Source organism: Homo sapiens, chromosome 11 (assembly GCF_000001405.40).
Source record: "Homo sapiens chromosome 11, GRCh38.p14 Primary Assembly".
NCBI classification, from domain to species: domain Eukaryota; kingdom Metazoa; phylum Chordata; class Mammalia; order Primates; family Hominidae; genus Homo; species Homo sapiens.
In genome coordinates, this window is record NC_000011.10 from 10,881,377 (window position 1) to 10,901,175 (window position 19,799).

General features: G+C 41.1%; 2 long non-coding RNA genes across 2 annotated transcripts in view, besides 2 other annotated features; both read right to left on the reverse strand.

Annotated features, from left to right (window-relative positions):
• Positions 1–2,782: 2,782 nt before the first annotated feature.
• On the reverse strand, positions 2,783–17,957 carry LOC124902629 (uncharacterized). Its single transcript, XR_007062588.1, has 2 exons — positions 17,756–17,957; positions 2,783–3,748 (listed from the first exon to the last, which is right to left on the reverse strand). It is a non-coding gene; the product is annotated as an uncharacterized LOC124902629 (long non-coding RNA).
• Positions 17,846–19,045: an enhancer, noted in NCBI's record as "P300/CBP strongly-dependent group 1 enhancer chr11:10920769-10921968 (GRCh37/hg19 assembly coordinates)". NCBI's record gives its function as "activates an origin of replication core promoter dependent on BRD2, BRD4, P300/CBP, MED14 and CDK7 cofactors, with strong dependence on P300/CBP, by STARR-seq in HCT116 cells {active_cell/tissue: HCT116}" and the evidence as "EXISTENCE:reporter gene assay evidence [ECO:0000049][PMID:35650434]".
• Positions 18,198–18,267: an enhancer, noted in NCBI's record as "active region_4453". NCBI's record gives its function as "activates an Ori minimal core promoter by ATAC-STARR-seq in GM12878 lymphoblastoid cells {active_cell/tissue: GM12878}" and the evidence as "EXISTENCE:reporter gene assay evidence [ECO:0000049][PMID:35858748]".
• LOC107984309 (uncharacterized) overlaps positions 18,765–19,799 on the reverse strand; it is a 31,528-nt gene continuing 30,493 nt past the window's right edge. Inside the window, exon 3 of the long non-coding RNA XR_007062590.1 lies at positions 18,765–18,803. This is a non-coding gene — a long non-coding RNA (uncharacterized LOC107984309). The remainder of the gene's footprint in view (positions 18,804–19,799) is intronic.

Genomic DNA, 19,799 nt, shown 5'->3' on the forward strand with positions numbered 1-19,799 from the left:
GTTCTCAAATCCTAACTCTTAGTTACTAAAATGAAGATGAAAAATGAGGGCAGTTATACAAGAAACTAAGATAATGTGTTATCAGTTAGGACTGCCATTTTTCCAATTCTCCTAGGACCTGTAACTCTACCAATGACACCCTTTTAAAAATTTCAAATTAAGTCACCAGAATTGAGATAGAGAAAGTAATTTTATCACTCTTCAAAGAAACTACATTGGATTTTTCTGGAGAGCCAAGCCATTTCACTGATAATTTTAGTAGAATGATTTGCATGTTCTCAGAATTTTATTGAAACATTATTGATTTACTGAAGGGCCTTATCACTGACATAGTAATAATTTGTTTCCTTCACTGAAAATAAGAAGTCACTTTTAAAAGGAAAAGAAAATTTGTGATAGTCTGAAGGAGAATGTATCTTGTAGCAGATTCATATATATCTAAATTTAAAAAATTCAATACCAACTTGTCCATAAATGCACCAAACCTTGGTTAATACATAGAACTCTTGGTGATTAAATGCTTAACCATCATCATCTGTAAGAATCCAAATGCTTGTCCTGAGGCTTTGCCTGTGCCTTAAAATCCTACATATTAGTACTTTACCATCTTTACAGCTCAGGTCTTGTAAATCCTAGGGCGCTAGGGGAAGAAAGTACCTGCCAGGGTATACAAACTCATGGTATGTTTGCCTAAGGGTAGGGAGCCATAAAACTGGCAGCAGGCGATTTTCTTTTCTTTTTATTATAGGTCATGCATTTGATCTCCCTACTTTTCTCAAATTTGTATGGGGCCGGGCCAGCAGCTCTGCATTTGAGTGGGTTGTATGGGAATGCTTTCATTTTCTCTGCTAAACCTGCTCTCAAATTATCACTTTCTAGCATCTACTGATGGATCTTAGGGATGTTCATGTTTCCTAAGAAATTTAGCCCCATAAAAGGTATGAAGAGATTTACCCAAGTAGCAGATAAAGTTAAGGGATGTCACTTCCATGATGTGCAACTCTCCCACTAGGGTTGCAGCTGGGACACTATCAATATTCACTTTTCCACCCCTCCCATCTCCTTTTTACCCCTAGCCATGGCAAACATGGAATAAATACAGCACCGATTCTCCACATTTTTTATCTCAAGACCACTTTGCACGCTTAAAAATTGAAGATTCAAAGGGCTTTTGTTTGTGAGTTGCTGTATTAGAAATTGAAATGAGAGAAATTTTTAAGAATTGATACATCCTAAAACACAATAATAAACCTACTACATGTAAATATAAATAACATATTTTATGAAAAAGTACTGTTTTTCAACACAAGAAAATTAAAGAGTAGCACTGTTTTACATTTTTACAAATTTCCCTAATGACTGCTTAACAGAAAACAGTTGGATTCTCAGATCTGCTTCTGCAATGGGTCTATTGCAATATATGGCTTTGGTTGAAGTATATGAATAAAATCCAGCATTACACAGATATGTACTTGAAAAAAGGAGGAGTATTATAATAACTTTTTCAGATAAGTGGGGATAATCTTCTTTGATACTACACCAAAACTGGACAAGTCCTAGCTAGTTTCTTAAAGGATGGTTCCAATGTGGAATCTGAAACCACAGCAGTGAAAGTTATGTAGTCTATTATGTTAAAATCTAGTGCCCTATTTTGTACCTTGAAAATTTCTATTACCCATGCATGATTTTGTACCATGATGCACTGGCCATTTGGAAAATATTGGTTCATTGAATTATGCATATCTTTCAAATGTTGACACATTTCTTTGTACAGCATCAAAAACCACATTCATTAATATTACCACTGATTTCATTAAAAAAAGTCATAGTATTGTGATGATGTCAAGCTTATAGTGGCATATACAAGTTTCCCAAAATTCCAATTTTTGCTTGAAAGCTAGAATGTTATCATTGGATACAAATACTGCCAGTTGTTTTTCTTGCAGACTCACTTCATTCATTTTTGAGAAAATGTCTGACAGATAACCAAGTCTGAATTACTGTAGTTTGATGTCTTGTTCTTTCAAGAAAAAAATGGTGTTCCGTAAAAAAAGCAGCTAATTCAGCTTGCAGCTCAAACAATTAATTGTACAAGTGCTTTTTCTTGAGATAATCATTAGATTTTGGTATTCAATAGAAGTGCCTTATACATCCCATTTGGTCACACAGAATGTTAAAAGACCCAAAGGTTGAGATTTTGATGACATTAATAATTTTTACTGCTTCACCAGGGCATTCTTATGTGAAACAGTTTTTTTCCCCCTCCTGTGAGTACCTGGCGATAAAGAATATAATGACTATTAGTATCAGTTAAGTGTCTGCTTTGGTTTAAATGTTATTGTTTCCTCTAAAATTCATGTGTTGAAAACTTAATCCCTATGGCAACAGTATTGGGAGGTGTATGGATTAATGATGTTATAAAAGGGCTCACAGGAATGAGAGTGGCCTTCTCTCATTTCTGCTCTTCTGCCATGTGGGGACCTGGCCTTCCTCCCCTTCAAAGGACACAGCATTCACGTGCCATTTTGGAAGCAGAGAAACTGGGCCTTCACCTGCCAATGCCTTGATCAACTTTCAGAATTGTGAGATAATTAATTTCTGTTCCTTATAAATCATGTAGTCTCAGTTATTCTGTTATATTAGGTTGGTGCAATTACTTTTGCACCACAATTTTTTTTTGCATTATCTGCTGGGGGAACCAGCCCCCCAGTATTTCAACGTAGATTCTATTTTCCCTAAGTGTCGGCCGGTCTGAGAAATAAAGAGAAGGAGTACAAAGAGAGAAGTTTTACAGCTGGGCCTCTGGGGGTGCCATCACATATTGGTAGGACCGTGATGGCGACCCTGAGCTGCAAAACCAGCAAGTTTTTATTAGGATTTTAGAAGGAGAGTAGATGTACGAACAGGGAGTAGGTCACAAGGATCACATGCTTCAAAGGGCAATAAAAGATCACAAGGCAAGGGCAAAATTAGAATTACTGATGAGGGTCCATGTCCTCCTGTGCATGCATTGTCTTGATAAACATCTTAACAGGAAAGAGAGTTTGAGAGCAGACAACCGGTCTGACTAGAATTCACCAGGCTGGAATTTCCCAATCCTAGCAAGCCTGAGGGCACTGCGGGAGACCAGGGTGTATTTCAGTCCTTATCTCAACCACATAAGACAGACAATCCCAGAGCAGGCGTTCATAGACCTCCCCCCAGGAATGCATTCCTTCCCCAGGGCTATCAATTATTAATATTCCTTGCTGGGAAAAGAATTCAGCAATATTTCTCCTACTCACACATCCATCTATAGGCTTTCTGCGAGAAGAAAAATATGGCTGTGTTCTGCCCAACCCCGCAGGCAGTCAGGCCTTATGATTATCTCTTTTGTTCCCTGAAAATCACTGTTATTCTGTCCTTTTTCAGGGTGCACTGGTTTCATATTGTTCAAACACACGTTTTACAATCTGTACAGTTAATGCAATCATCACAGGGTCCTGAGGTGACATACATCCTCAGCTTACAAAGATGACGGGATTAAGAGATTAAAGACAAACATAAGAAATTATAAGAGTATTGATTGGGGAAGTGATAAATATCCATGAAATCTTCACAATTTATGTTCAGAGATTGCAGTAAAGACAGGCGTAAGAAATTATAAAAATATTAATTTTGGGAACTGATAAATGTCCATTAAATCTTCACAATTTTTGTTCTTCTGCCGCGGCTTCAGCTGGTCTCTCCATTCGGGGTGCCTGGCTTCCTGCAACAATTATCAAAACAAATGTCAATACAGTGAAAAAGGCAAATAACAGCTTAGTATTATTTTGAAAATAGTTTTTATCTCACAGGCCTCACACATTTAGAAGTACTGGTCTGTAGGTCTAGCATATGAGACAGTGACACAATTCTAAAATGTAAGTCTTTTAGTGTAATTCTCTTGAGCTTCCCCCAGCCTACTTTTTATGTTGTTGCTGTGCTAAGTCTGATTTTTTTTTTTATATAGGTCTTTTGGGGAAACCTATCTACTTACTTCCCTATTCTCTTCTGCCTGTGTTGAGTGCTCACCCTTGGCACTAACTGTCTTTTTGTCAGTTTGCTCCATTAATCAAATATTTATATTTAGACATATGTTAAAAATATACATCAAGAATTATATTTGTCCTGTCTGCTTCATATCTTCCAGAAATTCAACATTTATTTGGGGGTCATAGAATTCTTCCTGATTTTTTTAGTGTTGGTATTTTTTTTTCTTTTTATATCTTTATTATTTCAATGGCATTTTTGGAAAAAGTGGAAAAACTTTGATTCCATTTGTCATTTTTTTAAATCCAAAAGTATTTCTTCTATTTGGAAATAATGGGAATTTGGACTTTGCACTAGTTTGGATGGATCTTTCTCCCAACTAGTTGACTTGAATAGTGAGGTTTTAGGTACTTTATGACTTGGAGGTGCACTCTTCACCTCACTGTCAACTTTGGTTGTGCTGCTTCCTTCCAGAGTTCACATCAAGGGCAGGGAGGTTATACAAGCCAGAGACGTCATGGTGTATCAGTCTTTCTAGTTGGCTCAATCCCAGAGCAATGCTCTGTTTTTACTCTAAACAATCCCTCACTGAATTTGGCAGCAGGGATTGAGTCTGGTTTTTAAGGTCCTGTTTAAAAACTATCTATCCTTTTCAGCATGTTTTCATTACTTCTTTCATGTTTTCTGGTATGAAATTAAGATAAAAATTTCTTTTCACCAAGTTTGAAATCAAACAAATAAATGGAAATCTTTGTGGGAGAGCTATTGGAAGGATGGTTGTAGCATCAAAGGAGGCTATGTATCATTAACTGACTGACTAATGCAGAATTCAAGATAAGGTTATCATTCACAATGAGTTTTTTTTTTTATTGCAATTATTAGCAACATATCGAGGTCTTCAAGGCCAGGAAAGATTAGACTCTGTATTGTATTTATATTGGATACTTTTTACTTTAGTAGTGATAAAATTCACAAAGATTCTTTCGAAGGATTGAAATTTTCTACAATAAGTCTAAAATTCAGATGTCAGAGAGATTTTTCTTTTAGGAAGATTTTCAGAAAAGGCATATTAATTCAGTCCCTATTGATGGTGTCAGATCCACTTCTGGTGCTTTGATATAGTCTACAGACATTTTAAAAAGTTCTTATCCAGTACTAGAAACTAAATTACATTGAAGCAAAAGTTTTTCTTGAGCTGATAATGCTGTTCAGCTAAGAAAAAATTGGTGAGTTGAATACTTGTTGATTGAATCGGGTAAAATAGCTTTGAAGAATCTGACATTTCTAAATGGTTCTTAGTAGTTACAAATACAGTAAGAAGACGAGTCTTACTCACTTATAACCAACATGGTTGATAACAAGATATTATTGTTTGGCATCCATAGCAGTAACCATAGCACCATTTCTCAAAGCTTTTCTCTAAGAGGGCTGTGAAGTAGTAGATTGTTGTTCAGCAAATATTCATTCCTTCCGCTCTAACTCCTATAGTAGGGTTGTATTCTTCCTTTTCCTACTGATGTTGGACTTGGTTGTGTGACTTGCTTTGGCCAGTGGAATGTGGGTAGAAGTGATATCATATAAGATCTGAGCCTAGGCCTTAAGAGGAATTATGTACCTTCCCTCATTGCTCTATGAGCTTTTGTCCTCTGCCATGAGAAGAAAATGCCCCGGGGGCTGTGGCTCTTTCAGCCTGGCTATCCATAGTTTCTTCACAGAGCTGCAGCCTGAAGCAGCCTATTATTCTATCTGAAGACTTGTGAACATGAGAATAAATGCTTATTGCTGCATGACAGAGTTTTAGAATGGTTTGTTATTCAGCACAATCTGACTTGTATAGGGACACAGATCATTTCCTAGAACATCATCCAATAGTGGCTTTTAGGATATTAAGGTCGTAGGTACTATAATTACTAGATTGCTCAAAGAGGCAGAATTTTCAAAATTTTGCCAATCACTTCTTTGACACATTGATTGTTAAAGAGTGTGTTGTTTAATTTCCATATAGTTGTGCATTTTCAGATTTCCTTATGTCATTTATTTCTAGTTTCATTGCATTATTGTTGGGGAAGATTCTTTATATGATTTTGTAGAGGCAGAAGCAACTCCATTTTGGATGCTAATCTGCTATGTTGACTTCTGATTAACTCCAGTTCTGGGAATGCCTCTGAGATTTCTAGTTTATCTACTGTGAAGAGCACATACTTACCATAAACCCTGCCCTTAGGTCAAAACAACCTTGATGATGCATTTTTTAAATAGATATATGAAGCACATATACCCTTTCCCTGTGGTATATAAGCCCTGAGTCTGGGGGTTAATGGTGCAGGGATCTACTGTTTTGTGGCTGCCTGAGTCAGAGCTTCTGTTTGTAAGTCCCTTTTTAATGTTTCTTTCTGGCTAGGAGCAGTGGCTTATGCCTGTAATCCCAGCACTTTGGAAGCCAAGGCTGAAGGATTGCTTGAGGCCAGGAGTTTGAGACCAGCCTGGGCAACATAGCAAGACCCTGTTTCTACAAAAAATAACAAAAAATAGCTGGGTGTGGTGGTACGTGCCTGTAGTCCCAGCTACTCAGGAGTCTGAGGTGGGGGGATTGCTTGAGCCTAGGAGTTAGAGACTGAAATGAGCTATGTTCATGCCACGGCACTCTTGACTGGACAACAGAGCGAGACCTTGTGTTTATAAAACAAACAAACAAACAGTTTCTTTCTGAGAAACTGGATTTGCTAGACTCTTTCTTTGGCCTCTTGGCCTTTAGGGGTAGGTTTACATAGACCTACTCAGGGTGGAACAGATTTTAATCTTTTAAAATTTATTGAGACTTGTTTTGTGGCCTAGCACATAGTCTATACTAGAGAATGTTCCATGTGTACTTGAGAGAATGTGTACTCTGTTGTGGTTGGGTGGAGTGTTCTGTATATGTCTGTTAGGTCTAGTTGGCTTATAGTTTTGTTGGCAAGTCCTTCATTTGTTTCCCTGTTGATCTCTTAATAATTGTTCTATCCTTTATCAAAAGTGGGAGTATTGAAGTCTCTAACTGTTACTGTAGAACTGTCATTTCTGCCTTCAATTCTGTCAGTTTTGCTTTACATATTTTAGGGCTCTGTTATTACATATATATGTGTTTATAATTGTTATACCATCTTGATGGACTGATCCTTTTACCAATATATATAATAACTTTCTTTGTCTTTCTGTTCATATGTGCTTTCTAATATAAAGTGGTACATTGTGGATATTCAATCCATCTAATTGCCCACTAACATCTACTTTAAGCTTATCTTTTATGCAATAAATTCCTTAACATTTGCTGCACAAAAAGGTACGAATGAGATTGGTATTTAAAGGATGGAAAGAAGACTAGTATGGCTAACAGTGGTATCAAGGGGAGTCAGAGAAGTGGGCAAGGGCTTTGTAAAATAAGGTAAGAATGTGGATTTTATTGCCAATGATATAAATATTTAGTGGAGGATTTTAAGCATGAGATTTACAATTTAAGAAGATCACTCTGGGGACTGTTTTAAGAATGGGTCATAGACAGGTAGGGAAAGGGGTAAGGCTTTCTCTATAGTGCAGGCAAGAGATGTTGATGGCTTAGACCAGGGGGGCAAAAATGAAGATTAGGGAAGTGTAGGCTTTTAAGATATATTTTGTATATAGAGTGGATAGAACTTACTGATGAGTTTCTGTAGGGAATGGAACAGAGGACTCAGGGATGACTCTTGGTTTTTTTTGTTTGTTTGTTTTGTTTAGTTTTTTGGTTTTACCTTTGTAGTATTTCCTCAGACAAGAAGAGCATAACCGACAGTGGGTTCACCTTGTCTGCTGCCTAGACAGAGCCCATTTATCAAGACAGGGGAATTTCAATCGAGAAAGAGTAATTCATGCAGAGCTGACTGTGCAGGAGACCGGAGTTTTATTATTACTCAAATCGGTCTCCCCAAGGATCAGAGTTTTTAAGGACAGAGTTTTTAAGGATCAGAATTTTTAAGGACAACTTGGTGGGTGGGGGGAAACCAGTGAGCCAAGTGTGCTGATTGTTCAGGTCAGAAATCACAGGGAGTCAAAGCTGTCTTCTTGCACTGAGTCAGTTCCTGGGTAGGGACTACAAGATTAGATGAGCCAATTTATTGATCTGGGTGGTGCCAGCTGATCCATCATGTGCAGGGTCTGCAAAATATCTCAAGCAATGATCTTAGGAGCAGTTTAGGGAGGGTCAGAATCTTGTAGTCTCCAGCTGCATGACTCCTAAACCATAATTTCGAATCTTGTGGCTAATTTGTTAGTCCTACAAAGGCAGTCTAGTCCTCAGGGAAGAAGGAGGTTTGTTTTGGGAAAGGGCTGTTATCATCTCTGTTTTAAACTATAAACTAAGTTTCTCCCAAAGTTAGTTCAGCCTATGCCCAGAAATGAACAAGGACAGCTTAAAGGTTAGTAACAAGATGGAGTCAGCTAGGTTAGATCTCTTTCACTGTCTCAGTCATAATTTTGCAAAGATGGGTTCAAGAGGAGGAGTAGCAGGTCTGTTTGTTTGTTTGTTTGTTTGGCTAGTTCCTTGGTGGAGGAAAATAAATCAAGTGTTCTTTTTGTTTGTTTGTTTTTTAAGCCTGAGATACCTATTTTAGTTTAGACAACCTTTCAAGAAGGAAGGATTAGTTAGTTGGGTCAAATGTTATGAGACGTCAAGTAGGATGGAGACCAAGAAGTGACCACCACTTTGTCAATATTTGAAAAGATCAGTCTCTGGTATAAACAGACAGCCACAGAATGAGAGAAAATTTTTGCAAACTATGCATCTGGCAAAGATCTAATATCCAGCATCTATAAGGAACTTAAATTTACAAGAAAAAAATAACCTCATTAAAAAGTGGGCAAAAGACATGAACAGACACTTTTCAAAAGAAGACATACATGTGGCCAACAAGCATATGGAAAAAAGCTCAACATCACTGATCATTAGAGAAATGCAAATTGAAACAACAATGAGATACCATCTCACACCAGTCAGAATGGCTATTATTAAAAAGTCAAAAAATAACAGATGCTGGAGAGGTTGCAGAGAAAAAGGAACACCTATATGCTGTTGGTGGGAATGTAAATTAGTTCAACCATTGTGGAAGACAGTGTGGTAATTCCTCAAAGACCTAAAAACAGAAATACCGTTTGACCCAGCAATCCCATTACTGGTATATATCCAAAGGAATATAAGTACATGCATGTGTACATAAAAATACATGCATGTTTATGTTCATTGCAGCACTATTCACAATAGCAAAGACATAGAATCAACCTAAATGCCCACCAATGATAGACTGGATAAAGAAAATGTGGTACATATACACTGTGGAATACTATGTAGCCATAAAAAAGAATGAGATCGTGTCCTTTGCAGGAATATGGATGAAGCTGGAGGCTGTTATCCTTGGCAAACTAACGGGAACAGAAAACCAAATACTGCATGTTCTCACTTATAAGTGGGAGCTAAATGATGAGAACTCATAAACATATAGAAGGGAACAACAGACTTTAGGCCTACTTGAGGGTGGAGAGTGGGAGGAGGGAGAGGATCAGGAAGAATAACTATTGGGTACTAGGCTTAATACCTGGGTGATGAAATAATTTGTACAACAAACCCCTTTGATGGAAGTTTACCTATGTAACAAACCTGCACATATACCCCTGAACTTAAAAGTTAAATTAAAAAAAAGGAACAGTTTCTGGTAAGTGATGGGGGCAGAAACTTGATTGGAGTGGGCTGAGAAGAGATTGTGAGATGATGGGGTGGAGACGGTGTTCATATATAACTCTATCAAGAAGTTTTCCTGTGGTGGGTTTGAGTAGTTCATAATAGTTGAAGGAGATTGCAAGGTTTAAGGAAGTTCTCCTTTTTAAAATAAGATAGAACATAATCCCCTGGCCTCCACCAAATACCACTAGGGCTCCATGGTCACTGTGACATCAAAATGCATCATCATTCATTTCCAAATTTTCCTTGGAGAGGGAAATTGTGTTCCCCTCCACTTCCTCAACTACAACATGTTTGTGTAACAATGCAAATAATCTAGTAGAGAGAGAGAATGTGGAGAGAAATGGGACAATTGCAGGAGTGAAGACTGAGAATGCCAGAGGGGATGGAATTTAGATGGGACAGGGATATTTTTTCTATTGTGAAAGAAAGAAAGCAAAGCAAATATGTACTGAATGAGAAAAGAAGGTTGGTATTTTGTTGAGAAGATGAGGGAGGTCTGTTAATTGCTCTTTTTCAAAAAAATGAGTCAGGAGGGTAGATTATCTGCTGGGTATAGGGGCAAGTATTGGGGCAATGAATTTGAAGAAGGAGAAGAAGATGGGACCTACTCATTTTGAATGTGAATGCTAGGAAAGTGGTCTTGGATTGAAAGAAGCTTGAGCATCCATTTAAGATTTGATTGTGGTCTGTTGCCATCATTCAACCTAGCTCCATGAGTTCAGAAACCAGGTATCTTTCTCTTGTTGTACAATAGCATACCTATACCACCTGACATGGTATCTAGTGCCTTGTAGGTACTTGATAAATATTTATTCTATAATTTATTAATGCTTGGCTTCCTGTTGAAATTGCTTTCCTAGAAGACACCTATTCACCAACTTTACCAGGGTTCCATAGACTGTTAATGCTGGTCAGTTGTGCCTGAATTCCAAAGGGAAGAGGGGATAATGAGACATATCTTGTTCTCCCTACCCATCATGGCCTGACCTAGTTTTTCAGGATAACTTTGGAATGCCCTTGGTTGGGCATTCTACCAAGGAAGCAGGCAGGTTTGAGGGTAGTCCATTCAGTTTGGTGGGGAGCTTAGAATTTTATTTTTGGTTTATGAAACCCACATATTTTCTGAAGAATTCCAGCTGTATTATATATAATATATATGTATTGTAGAAAAAATAAGAAAAAACAGATAGAGCATCTTAATACGGAAAGTATCTTTCTCAGACACCATCTGGTAGATTAATTGCAGTCATTCACTTCCTCCTTCTTAGCAAGTGAATTATATTTCCTCTTTCCATTGACTCAGGGCTTGGCCATATGGCTTGCTTTGGCCAATGAAATGTTAGCAATATGACATATGCTATATCTGAGCAGAAGCTGTAGACATGATTGCCTGATTTGGCTTGGCCATTGATGTTTCTGTTCTCTGCCACGAGCTGAGCATGTTTTGGACCTTTCTGCCTGGGTCCTGGCATAAGAAGAAAGGTGGAGAGGACTCTGTCTAGCCCTAGCCCATAGCCTTATCCTCCATGTGGTGAGAAATACACATCTGTGCTTCTAAGCCACTGAAATTGTGCGGTTGTTTTTTGTTACTGAAGCAAGGGTGAATACATGTTCCTGCCTCCAAGAATTGACTGTCAAGCTCAATGCTTTCAGTCAACAACAGGGATGTCATACAAGGTGCCAGACCCTCCTCTTGTACCCATTGATCAGGGCATTCTTCCCTCTTGAACCCAAATATGACCTCAGAATCCTTTTGAATACAGGGCCCCAAGGAGCTACCGCCAATCAAGTGGATGTGGCTGGTGAGATGAAACCTGTCTGGCCTGATTCCACTACACTATTCTGTCTTCTAAGATTGATAACTTTTGCTTAGATGGGTCCTCCAAAGGAGGAATGTCCTTGGACATGCCAATCAGAACTGCCTGGCTCAGAAAACTCATTTATTATTTTATTATTTATAATATTTTATAACATTTTTAATGCTTACCATATTATTAGTGTCTTGGAATCAATAATAACTGTAATACTAATAGTGCTCAAATTCATGAAGATGTGACTTGCTCAAGGTCACACACTCTAGTCTGTTTGTGTCTTATGACCACAGTCTCTACATTATCCTTATGGGTCCCAGGTGTGGCTAAAGGATTCCACTGGCTACAGCCTTTGAATTTCTTTTTTCTCTGGGCCCCAAACTTCCTTATTTCCTAGATTCCAGAGGACTGAAGCATATGGATCCTTTAGATCCCTCTTCCACAAAGAGCTGAAATCCAAGTGTCTTTACAGGTGAAGAGAACTGCAAAGGAATTGTATTAGAAAGGAGTTATTAGTGGAGCCAGGAGAGGCACATGACTGGCTCAGGAGGCTTCTCCTTCTGGCAAAAGCATATTCCTGAATTTAACCAAAGCGGCATCAGAGGCTTTACTGAGAAAACTGATGAGGAAAGCCAGGTATCCTTAGCATGTTATTGAATGTCAACATGTCCATTAAAAAGGTACAGTGCAGGCTCTGTCAAAACATGGGGTTGGTGGACAAGGTAACTAAGATCCTCACTACTTCTGGGTAATGGAAAGAAATGCTGAGATTCACTTGGGTTGTGGTCCATAGTTTTACCTGCAAGGTGACTCATCCATGGGACAGTCAATCATTATAATCAGGGTTAATCATTTATAAAAAGAATTTTCTGCTGAGACAGAGCAGCTTCATGGGATATCAGGCCAGATGTTCTTCTAAGCATTTACAGCTCTGTGATGAGGTTGCTATTGCCCCATTTTATGTTTATTTTTCAACTGATGTCATGTTTTTCAAAGTGGTTATGATTTCAGCCTTGTCATTCCTGCCACTAGGCAGCTTCCAAATTGTTCATTCTTGGCAATGTTTAATGCCATGTCCCCTGTCTTGCTGTCAGGGGCAGCTCATCTGAGCTGCCAAGAGGGCCTGCTTTATTGCTCAGCCAGCCAAGGCCTAAGCTGCTTTATGACATTTCAAAGTGAATTGATGATAGAAATTTCAATTTGTTTCAGAAGAGAGTTATCAACAGACCTAGAGCTCAGAAAATGAGTGACCAGGTCTTTAAAAGGCGTTGATTTGAGTGTACATAGATGAAAGACACCCTGAATGCTGTTTCAGCATGTGTTTAGTCTCTGAAATTTATCCTTATTTATATGTAGTTACTGCTTCTGAAGAATGCTTGGGTAGCCTAATACTGCTGATTAGAATTCTTTCTTGTCTACTTTGATAAATGTGGTGATCATAGGTTGTTTTTGTCTGTCCCTTTGGGGGACTACCATACTTCCACTCTCAGTACCTGTGGTTTTGATGGAGCTAATTTCAGACCTTTGTCCCAGGGGTAGGCCTGCCCAGTGAGACACATGGATTTGTCTTAGGGATGGACATGTTAGCTGTATCGGTCAGGATCTTGGAAACAGATGACACTTTCAAAATCGGTTATCAAATAACCCTTCCATGGAGGTGTAGGTGGAGTGTGGGAAAACCGTAAAGGATAGTGCAGTTTCTGGGGCTGCTCACAGTAGGGCATAGTACTGCTTTTAGGTTGCAGAGGCAAAACTGGGAAGCCATTACTGGAACTCAAAGAGAGAAGATGTATGGAGAAGCTGCAGGCAGGACCTGTGACTATTGGCTGAGAGATATAGCCAGCTCATGTGGACCCTTGCAAGGGGTGCTGGGGGAAATTAACATCCTGACTTCATTCTTATCTCTTCCTCCAGCCTCCCACTGGTCTCACTATTGACAATACCCAAGGCAAGGCACAGAGGAAAGGAGCCATTGATATATCCAATCTCTCACCTACCGAGCTGGAAGAAGAGTAGAGAGTGGCCAACCTCCCAGCTACCAAGCTCAAAGAAGAGGAGAGAGTAGATTTGGAGGTCAAGCTGAGGATATCTGGCAAATGAGCCAATTTAGGCCAATTGAGAGTTAGTTCTGGGACTTTTAATGGAACAATCGGGCAATAAGTTCTTCTTTCTGCTGAAATTTCTGTGAAATAGGCCTGGTGGCCATCTCATCACCACCCTGAAAAGAGGGCCAAAAGATGGGGACAAATTCCTGTTGATATCATTTAAGCACTTGAACCCAGTTACACTTGAGGACTACCCCTAGAATTTTCAACTAGGGGCCAATAAATCCTACCTCTGCATTAGCTAGTCAGGTTTCTCTCACTTGCATCTGAAAGAGGCCTGACAAACAGTCTACACAGTTCTACACATTGCAAAACTCAGTTCATGGAGCCATTGAAATGATCTCCTGCCACATGCAGCAGTGGCTCTAACATACTCATTCCAGTAAATCTGAGTTTTCTTGGTGCCAGTCCCTGTGCTTTCGTAACCCTCTCCAGCTGTAGCCTCAGTTCCACCCTGTTCCTTTGTAGTCTTAACTAAGATAGCCAGGATGTCACTGGCCCAGAGGCATCATTGAGCAGCATCTGGAATTTTATGAATTCAGTGTGTTTTGAATACAATTTCTTTTCTTTTTTCTTTTTTTTTTTTTCAGATAGAGTCTTGCTCTATCACCCAGGCTGGAATGCAGTGGCACGATCTCGGCTCACTGCAACCTCCTCCTCCCAGGTTCAAGCGATTCTCCTGCCTCAGGCTCCCGAGTAGCTGGGACTATAGGCGTGTGCCACCACAGCCAGCTAATTTTTGTAATTTTTTTTAGTAGAGACAGGGTTCCACCATGTTGGCCAGGATGGTCTTGATCTCTTGACCTCATGATCCGCCCACCTCAGCCTCCCAAAGTGCTGGGATTACAGGCGTGAGCCACCTCGCCTGGCCGAGAGACAATAATTTCAAACATGCAGGGAAATAATGAAGGTCCCCTTTAGTAGAAAAAAAAAAGGCTGGAATTAATATAGACTGAGGTTTGGTGGTTTAATTGAAATATTGAAATATGTGCAAAGCTGGTAGATGTTGGGCCAAATCAAATAATTCCATGAGAGAATTATTTTAACATAAGGATAGGCCTAGTCCGTGGACTCAGGTTGAGTAATAACTTTTCTGAAAGATACTTAGCATCAAAGGACATTTGGTAAGTCCTTGGTTAGCATCTTTGATAGGTGACAGGTCTTTTATTTACAGAGAGCCCTCTTCTTGGAGTGAGTGAGTGTGTGTGTGTGTGTGTGTGATTGTATGTATGTGTATGTATAAAACAAAGTCATCTTTAAATTATGCTTTTCACCAGCAGGAAATAAAAGGAAAGAGTTTGTAGGCTGAGGGCCAGGAATGTCCCATCCCCTTCAGGGTAGTCCTGCAGATGGACCTTCCCCCTAGGCTCATGTGTCTTACCTTCCCTCCTTTCATACAGGGCAAAGAGTGAAAATCCCTATCTGCGTGCACATGGGGCTGAGAGTGGGGAAGGGCTGAAGCACAGCATGGCAGAGCAGAAAGAGCACACCCTTGAACCAGACTAGGTTTCCAGCCTCTTCTATTCATGATCTGTGAGGCCTTCGCTTAATCTCCCCAGGTTCCCGTTTCCTCCTTTGTAAAATGGGGATACTAATATCTTCCTTAGGGCACTATTGTGAGGATTAAATGAGATCGAGTGAACAAAGCTTCTGAAGTCCTGCTGGGTGAACGTCTTCATAAGAGGCCAAGACAATAACAATGATGACAAATCTGGGCAGGTCAGATCAGCAGCACATCCAAGGTTCACTTCGAAGCCTGTAGGACGATGCCTGGCGCTCAATAGCAAATGTTAGTTCCCGTCTCCTTCTTCCTGCTTTCCCCGGGAGTGTTTAGTCCCTCAAATAGAATCCTCTGCTGACTGCATCTCAGGGATGCATGACATAATGGGAACAATGAGAGCTTCGGAAAGCCATAGTTTGCTTTTTTGGCCCAATAACCCCATCTCTGAGAATTAGCCTAAGAAATCACCTGAAAGAAAAAAAATGTCATTTCTGCTAAGAGTTTACTACAGAATCATTTGTAATAGCAAAAAAACCCTACCATTATTCAATAATGATGTCAGTTCAATTATAGTAATTCAACTAAATGAGTTATTCTACAGTCATTGAAGTGATACTTTCAAAGGCTATACAGCAACATGGAAACTGTTTATGATTTAATGTTAAGTCAAAAGATACAGGGCAGGGTATGGTGGCTCACTCCTGTAATTCCAGGACTTTGAAAGACCAAGATGAGAGGATTGCCTGAGGCCAGGAATTTGAGCCTAGCCTGGGCAACATAGCAAGACCCCATCTCTACAAAAAAATTTAAAAATTAGCTGAGCGTGATGGTGCATGCCTGTAGTCCTAGCTATTCAGGAGGCTGGGTGACAGGATCACTTGACAGGAGTTTGAGGCTGCAGTGAGCAATGACCTTTGAGAGGGCCACTGCACTCCAGCTTGGGTGACACAGTGAGAACCTGTTTCTAAAAAAAAGAGATACATACAGAATTGTGCCTGTACTATGTCATACTATGATACAGGCCTGTATCCATAGGAGGGGCACTACTGGGAGTTTCTGTCCCCTGGGTGGTTTATTTTTGTCATCTTTACACACTGGGTTTGCGTGTTCAGATAGGGAAATTCTCTAACCTTTTACAACTTAGTTTATTTTTTGACCAGATATGAATATTTATTATGCATAAACCTTACAAGGCCAGGAGAGAGAGCACAAGAAAAAAAAGTAAAAACAGTTTGATTCTTTAAAGTAGCAAATATTGTGATGAATTTCAACAATGCATTTCAACTCCTGTTGATGGAACTTATGCAATAAATATTAATGATAATTTAAATTAGAATTATAAAATGATCCTTCTGTCTCTATTTCACTTTGCTTAGGAAAAACGAATTATTGGATGTAAGGTATTTAGAGTAAGGCCTCACATACAGTGAAAAATCAATAAATGAGAGCTTGTGCATCACGGCACTTATTACATGGAGGCACCATTTTTACACTAATTAATGCGTATATGGCTCACAGCAATGCAGTGGGGTGGGGACCATTAGTTTTCCAACCTCAGAGATGAGGAAACACTATAGAGAAGTTCCATCACATGTCTAGGGTCTCATCACTAGCAAGAGGCAGAGCTGGAATTCCCCTGTGGACCAGGCACCAGAGTCTTGGTCCTCACCATTTCACCATGGGGCATTCTCATTAAGCAAAGCTACTATCTTTAGGGCTTCTGGGAAAGAAAACCAAGTGAGTCCCTGAGCTTTTAGGGGAAGATGGTTTTTGAGTGCCTTGGCCCCCAGGGAAGGGAGTGATGAGGGCTGGAGAGGAGGAGGAGGGGAGCAGGCCCTTGTTTCTGCTCCTTCTGGAGTGGAGGGAATGGAGACATCAGGCATGGGGAGCCTTGGGAGGACTTATTTGTTTGCTGGTGCAGGGGCTAGGGGTAGAACATCCTCGACAGACATGTTGCTAAAGTCACACATGGAGTCAGGCGGACAAGGAAGAGAATGTGAGCCATGTGGGACCAGAGGGCTGCCTCTGCTCTTCAGCTGCTCTGAGCTCTGAGGTTTTAGAACTGAATGCTTGTCTGCGCTATTTGGAGCAGCATCCTCCTCCCTACACACAACTGAGAGTCCTCAAGTGCCTTGACTTGTGCTGTCTCCAGGGACAGAAAGATTCCCAGGTAGCTGTGAGACTCCCCACAGGCTCTGAGCCCCATCAGGGCTCCATTTGAGGCAGTGTTGCCTCCCTCCCTTCAGAAGCCTGAGAGCCTCCTCCACTCTGACCTCAATGAGATAGGGAGGGGGGTGGGTTGGTGTAACTGGGGCAAGACCAGCATGAAATCAGAAACTGAGTTCGGGACAGAGCTGTCCCAGGTGAGTGAGGGACTCCGAGGATCAGGACCTAAGTTGAGGCCAATGCCCGGGTGCATGACCAGGGAAGTCCAGGTGCTGGAATTGAAAGACAACGCAAGGCTGAAGGTGAGAAGCCAGGCAGGGACCCCAGGAACAAATCCCTCACCCTCCGCCTCTTCTGGGAGTGATCTCAGGGGAGGGGGTCTTCAGGGTCTGGGCCTGAATCATGGGGTACTCACCTGAGACCAGGGGTGACGCTGGCATGGCAGAAGCAAGTTGAGTCAGAAACATGTGACAGCTGTGGTCTAAAAAGGGAAGCCTAAAGGGTCACCAAAGTGAAGGGACCAAAGGGGCTATGGCAGCTGGGAACCGGAGCCAGAAATCTGAGAACCAGGGAGGTGAGTGCAAAAATAGTAGGTCCAGGGTGAACAGGGTTGGTTTAGAACATGTGTTGCCTGTGGCTCACTCTGGTGGGCCAGCTGGGCGTGGTGGGAGTGTGGATCTGCTAAATTTAAAGGGCCAGAACAGACACCACTGTGCAGGAGACTGTGCATGTGTTTTAGCCTGGGAACCTCTTATGATAGCTCAGGCTGAGTCCAAGAAGGTCTAAGCATGGTTTGCCCTGAACCTGGAGCTGGGAAAGCAGACCAAGTCTAAATGGGAGGGGCAGGCAGTGTTGGAGATAAGGACAAGCCGTGATGGGTGCTTGGGTGGAGGGACAAGTCTGGGCGCTGGGCCCTGGGCACCGTGGGGCTTACATGCTCAGGCCTGCAGGAGTGAGTGAATAGTGCTGGGGGAGACAGAGGCAGATGAGTCACAATCCCAGATGTGAGCAGATGCTCTGGGCAGATTTGGGCTGCTTGTCAGCAAATTTGACCACAGCCTGGATGGGCTGTCAGGCTCAGGCCACCGGCCCCACTCCCAGCACAGAGAAAGCCTAAGAACGCACTCCTCTGTGAGCGATCACTCTTTGAAATGTTTCATAGCCCTATATGGAACCACATCTGGGAGAGTAAATGTATTTTCTGAGCCAGGCTTTACAAGTTGATTTTATGACGCATCTAGGCAGAAGATGAAACGCCCCAGTCATTAACTCACTTCCCCTTGTGGGTGAATTCCACAATACGTTTTTCATCTGAGCTGTGGAACAAGTTTCTCTAGCACACACAGACCTGTCTGTCAGTGGACATTTGGCTGCTCAGATAAATCCTTCGCTCTTCAGAGGCTGTCCCTGGTTCACCCCTCAGGCCACGTGCTCTCTCTTGCAGGCAACTTTGCTGGCTCTTCCTGGAACAGGCCAAAACACAGGGATGAAGTTCTGTGGATAAGGCTGCCTGTGTCAGAGGGGCCTTGAGCACACATTCGGATTCTTAACCACCAGCTTACCAGATAGCTTGCTGTGTCCGTGTGTGTGTGTGTGTGTGTGTGTGTGTGTGTGTGTCCTTTAAAATTCTAGCTTAATGGCCACATGTTTTAGGCCACTTCTGTCCTCCTAAAATAGGGCTCTGAGCACGTCTCCAAAGGAGGGCCCCTGAAGCACAAGCAGTGGGCCGGCTGCCAGGGCTGGCAGAATGAGACACAGTACTTGAAATAAATGCAGGGTGTTTGCTTACAGATTCTTTACCACATCATGGATGAGTCAGATGACTTCTCACCCCAGATTCTGTTTTTACCCTTTTTCCTACTCAGAGCTAGGGGTGGGAGGATTGTGTAAAGTTTAAAATATATCCCCAAATTATATACTTCTGTCTTTTGAGTTTTAACATACAATAGGGATCCTTTCATTCTTCGACGCGGTCGAGAATTATGTTTAACTTTTCCTGTTTCATTCTGTTTTAATTCATACCTGGTTGTGGAAAGAGCAGTGGGTTGGAAGTTGAGAGACCTAGGATCAAGTCTCTGCTAGTTAGTAGCTCTGGGATTTGGGGCAAGTCAGTCCACCTGTCTGAGCTGCGGTTTCCTTACTGACAACATGGACTGTCAGTTCCCCGTGGAGGCTATGAGCTTGCACTGGGAAGGAACAGCTTTCCCCATTCAGTGGCCCTGGTTTTCTGAGCCCCTGCCCTTCACTTGGGGTTGCTTGTCATGACAGCAAGTTAGATCACTCATGGAAGTGTTTTGAAAACTAACATGCTACATTCTTGTGAGGGATAATTATTACTATGTGCCATGCCAAAAACAAAACAAAAAAAATCCTTTTCTTTTCTTCAGCCTTCTTCACACTCAACTTAGCCTCATCTGTGGCTAGAGCTTCTTCAGTATTCCAGGCAAATCCCTTCTCTC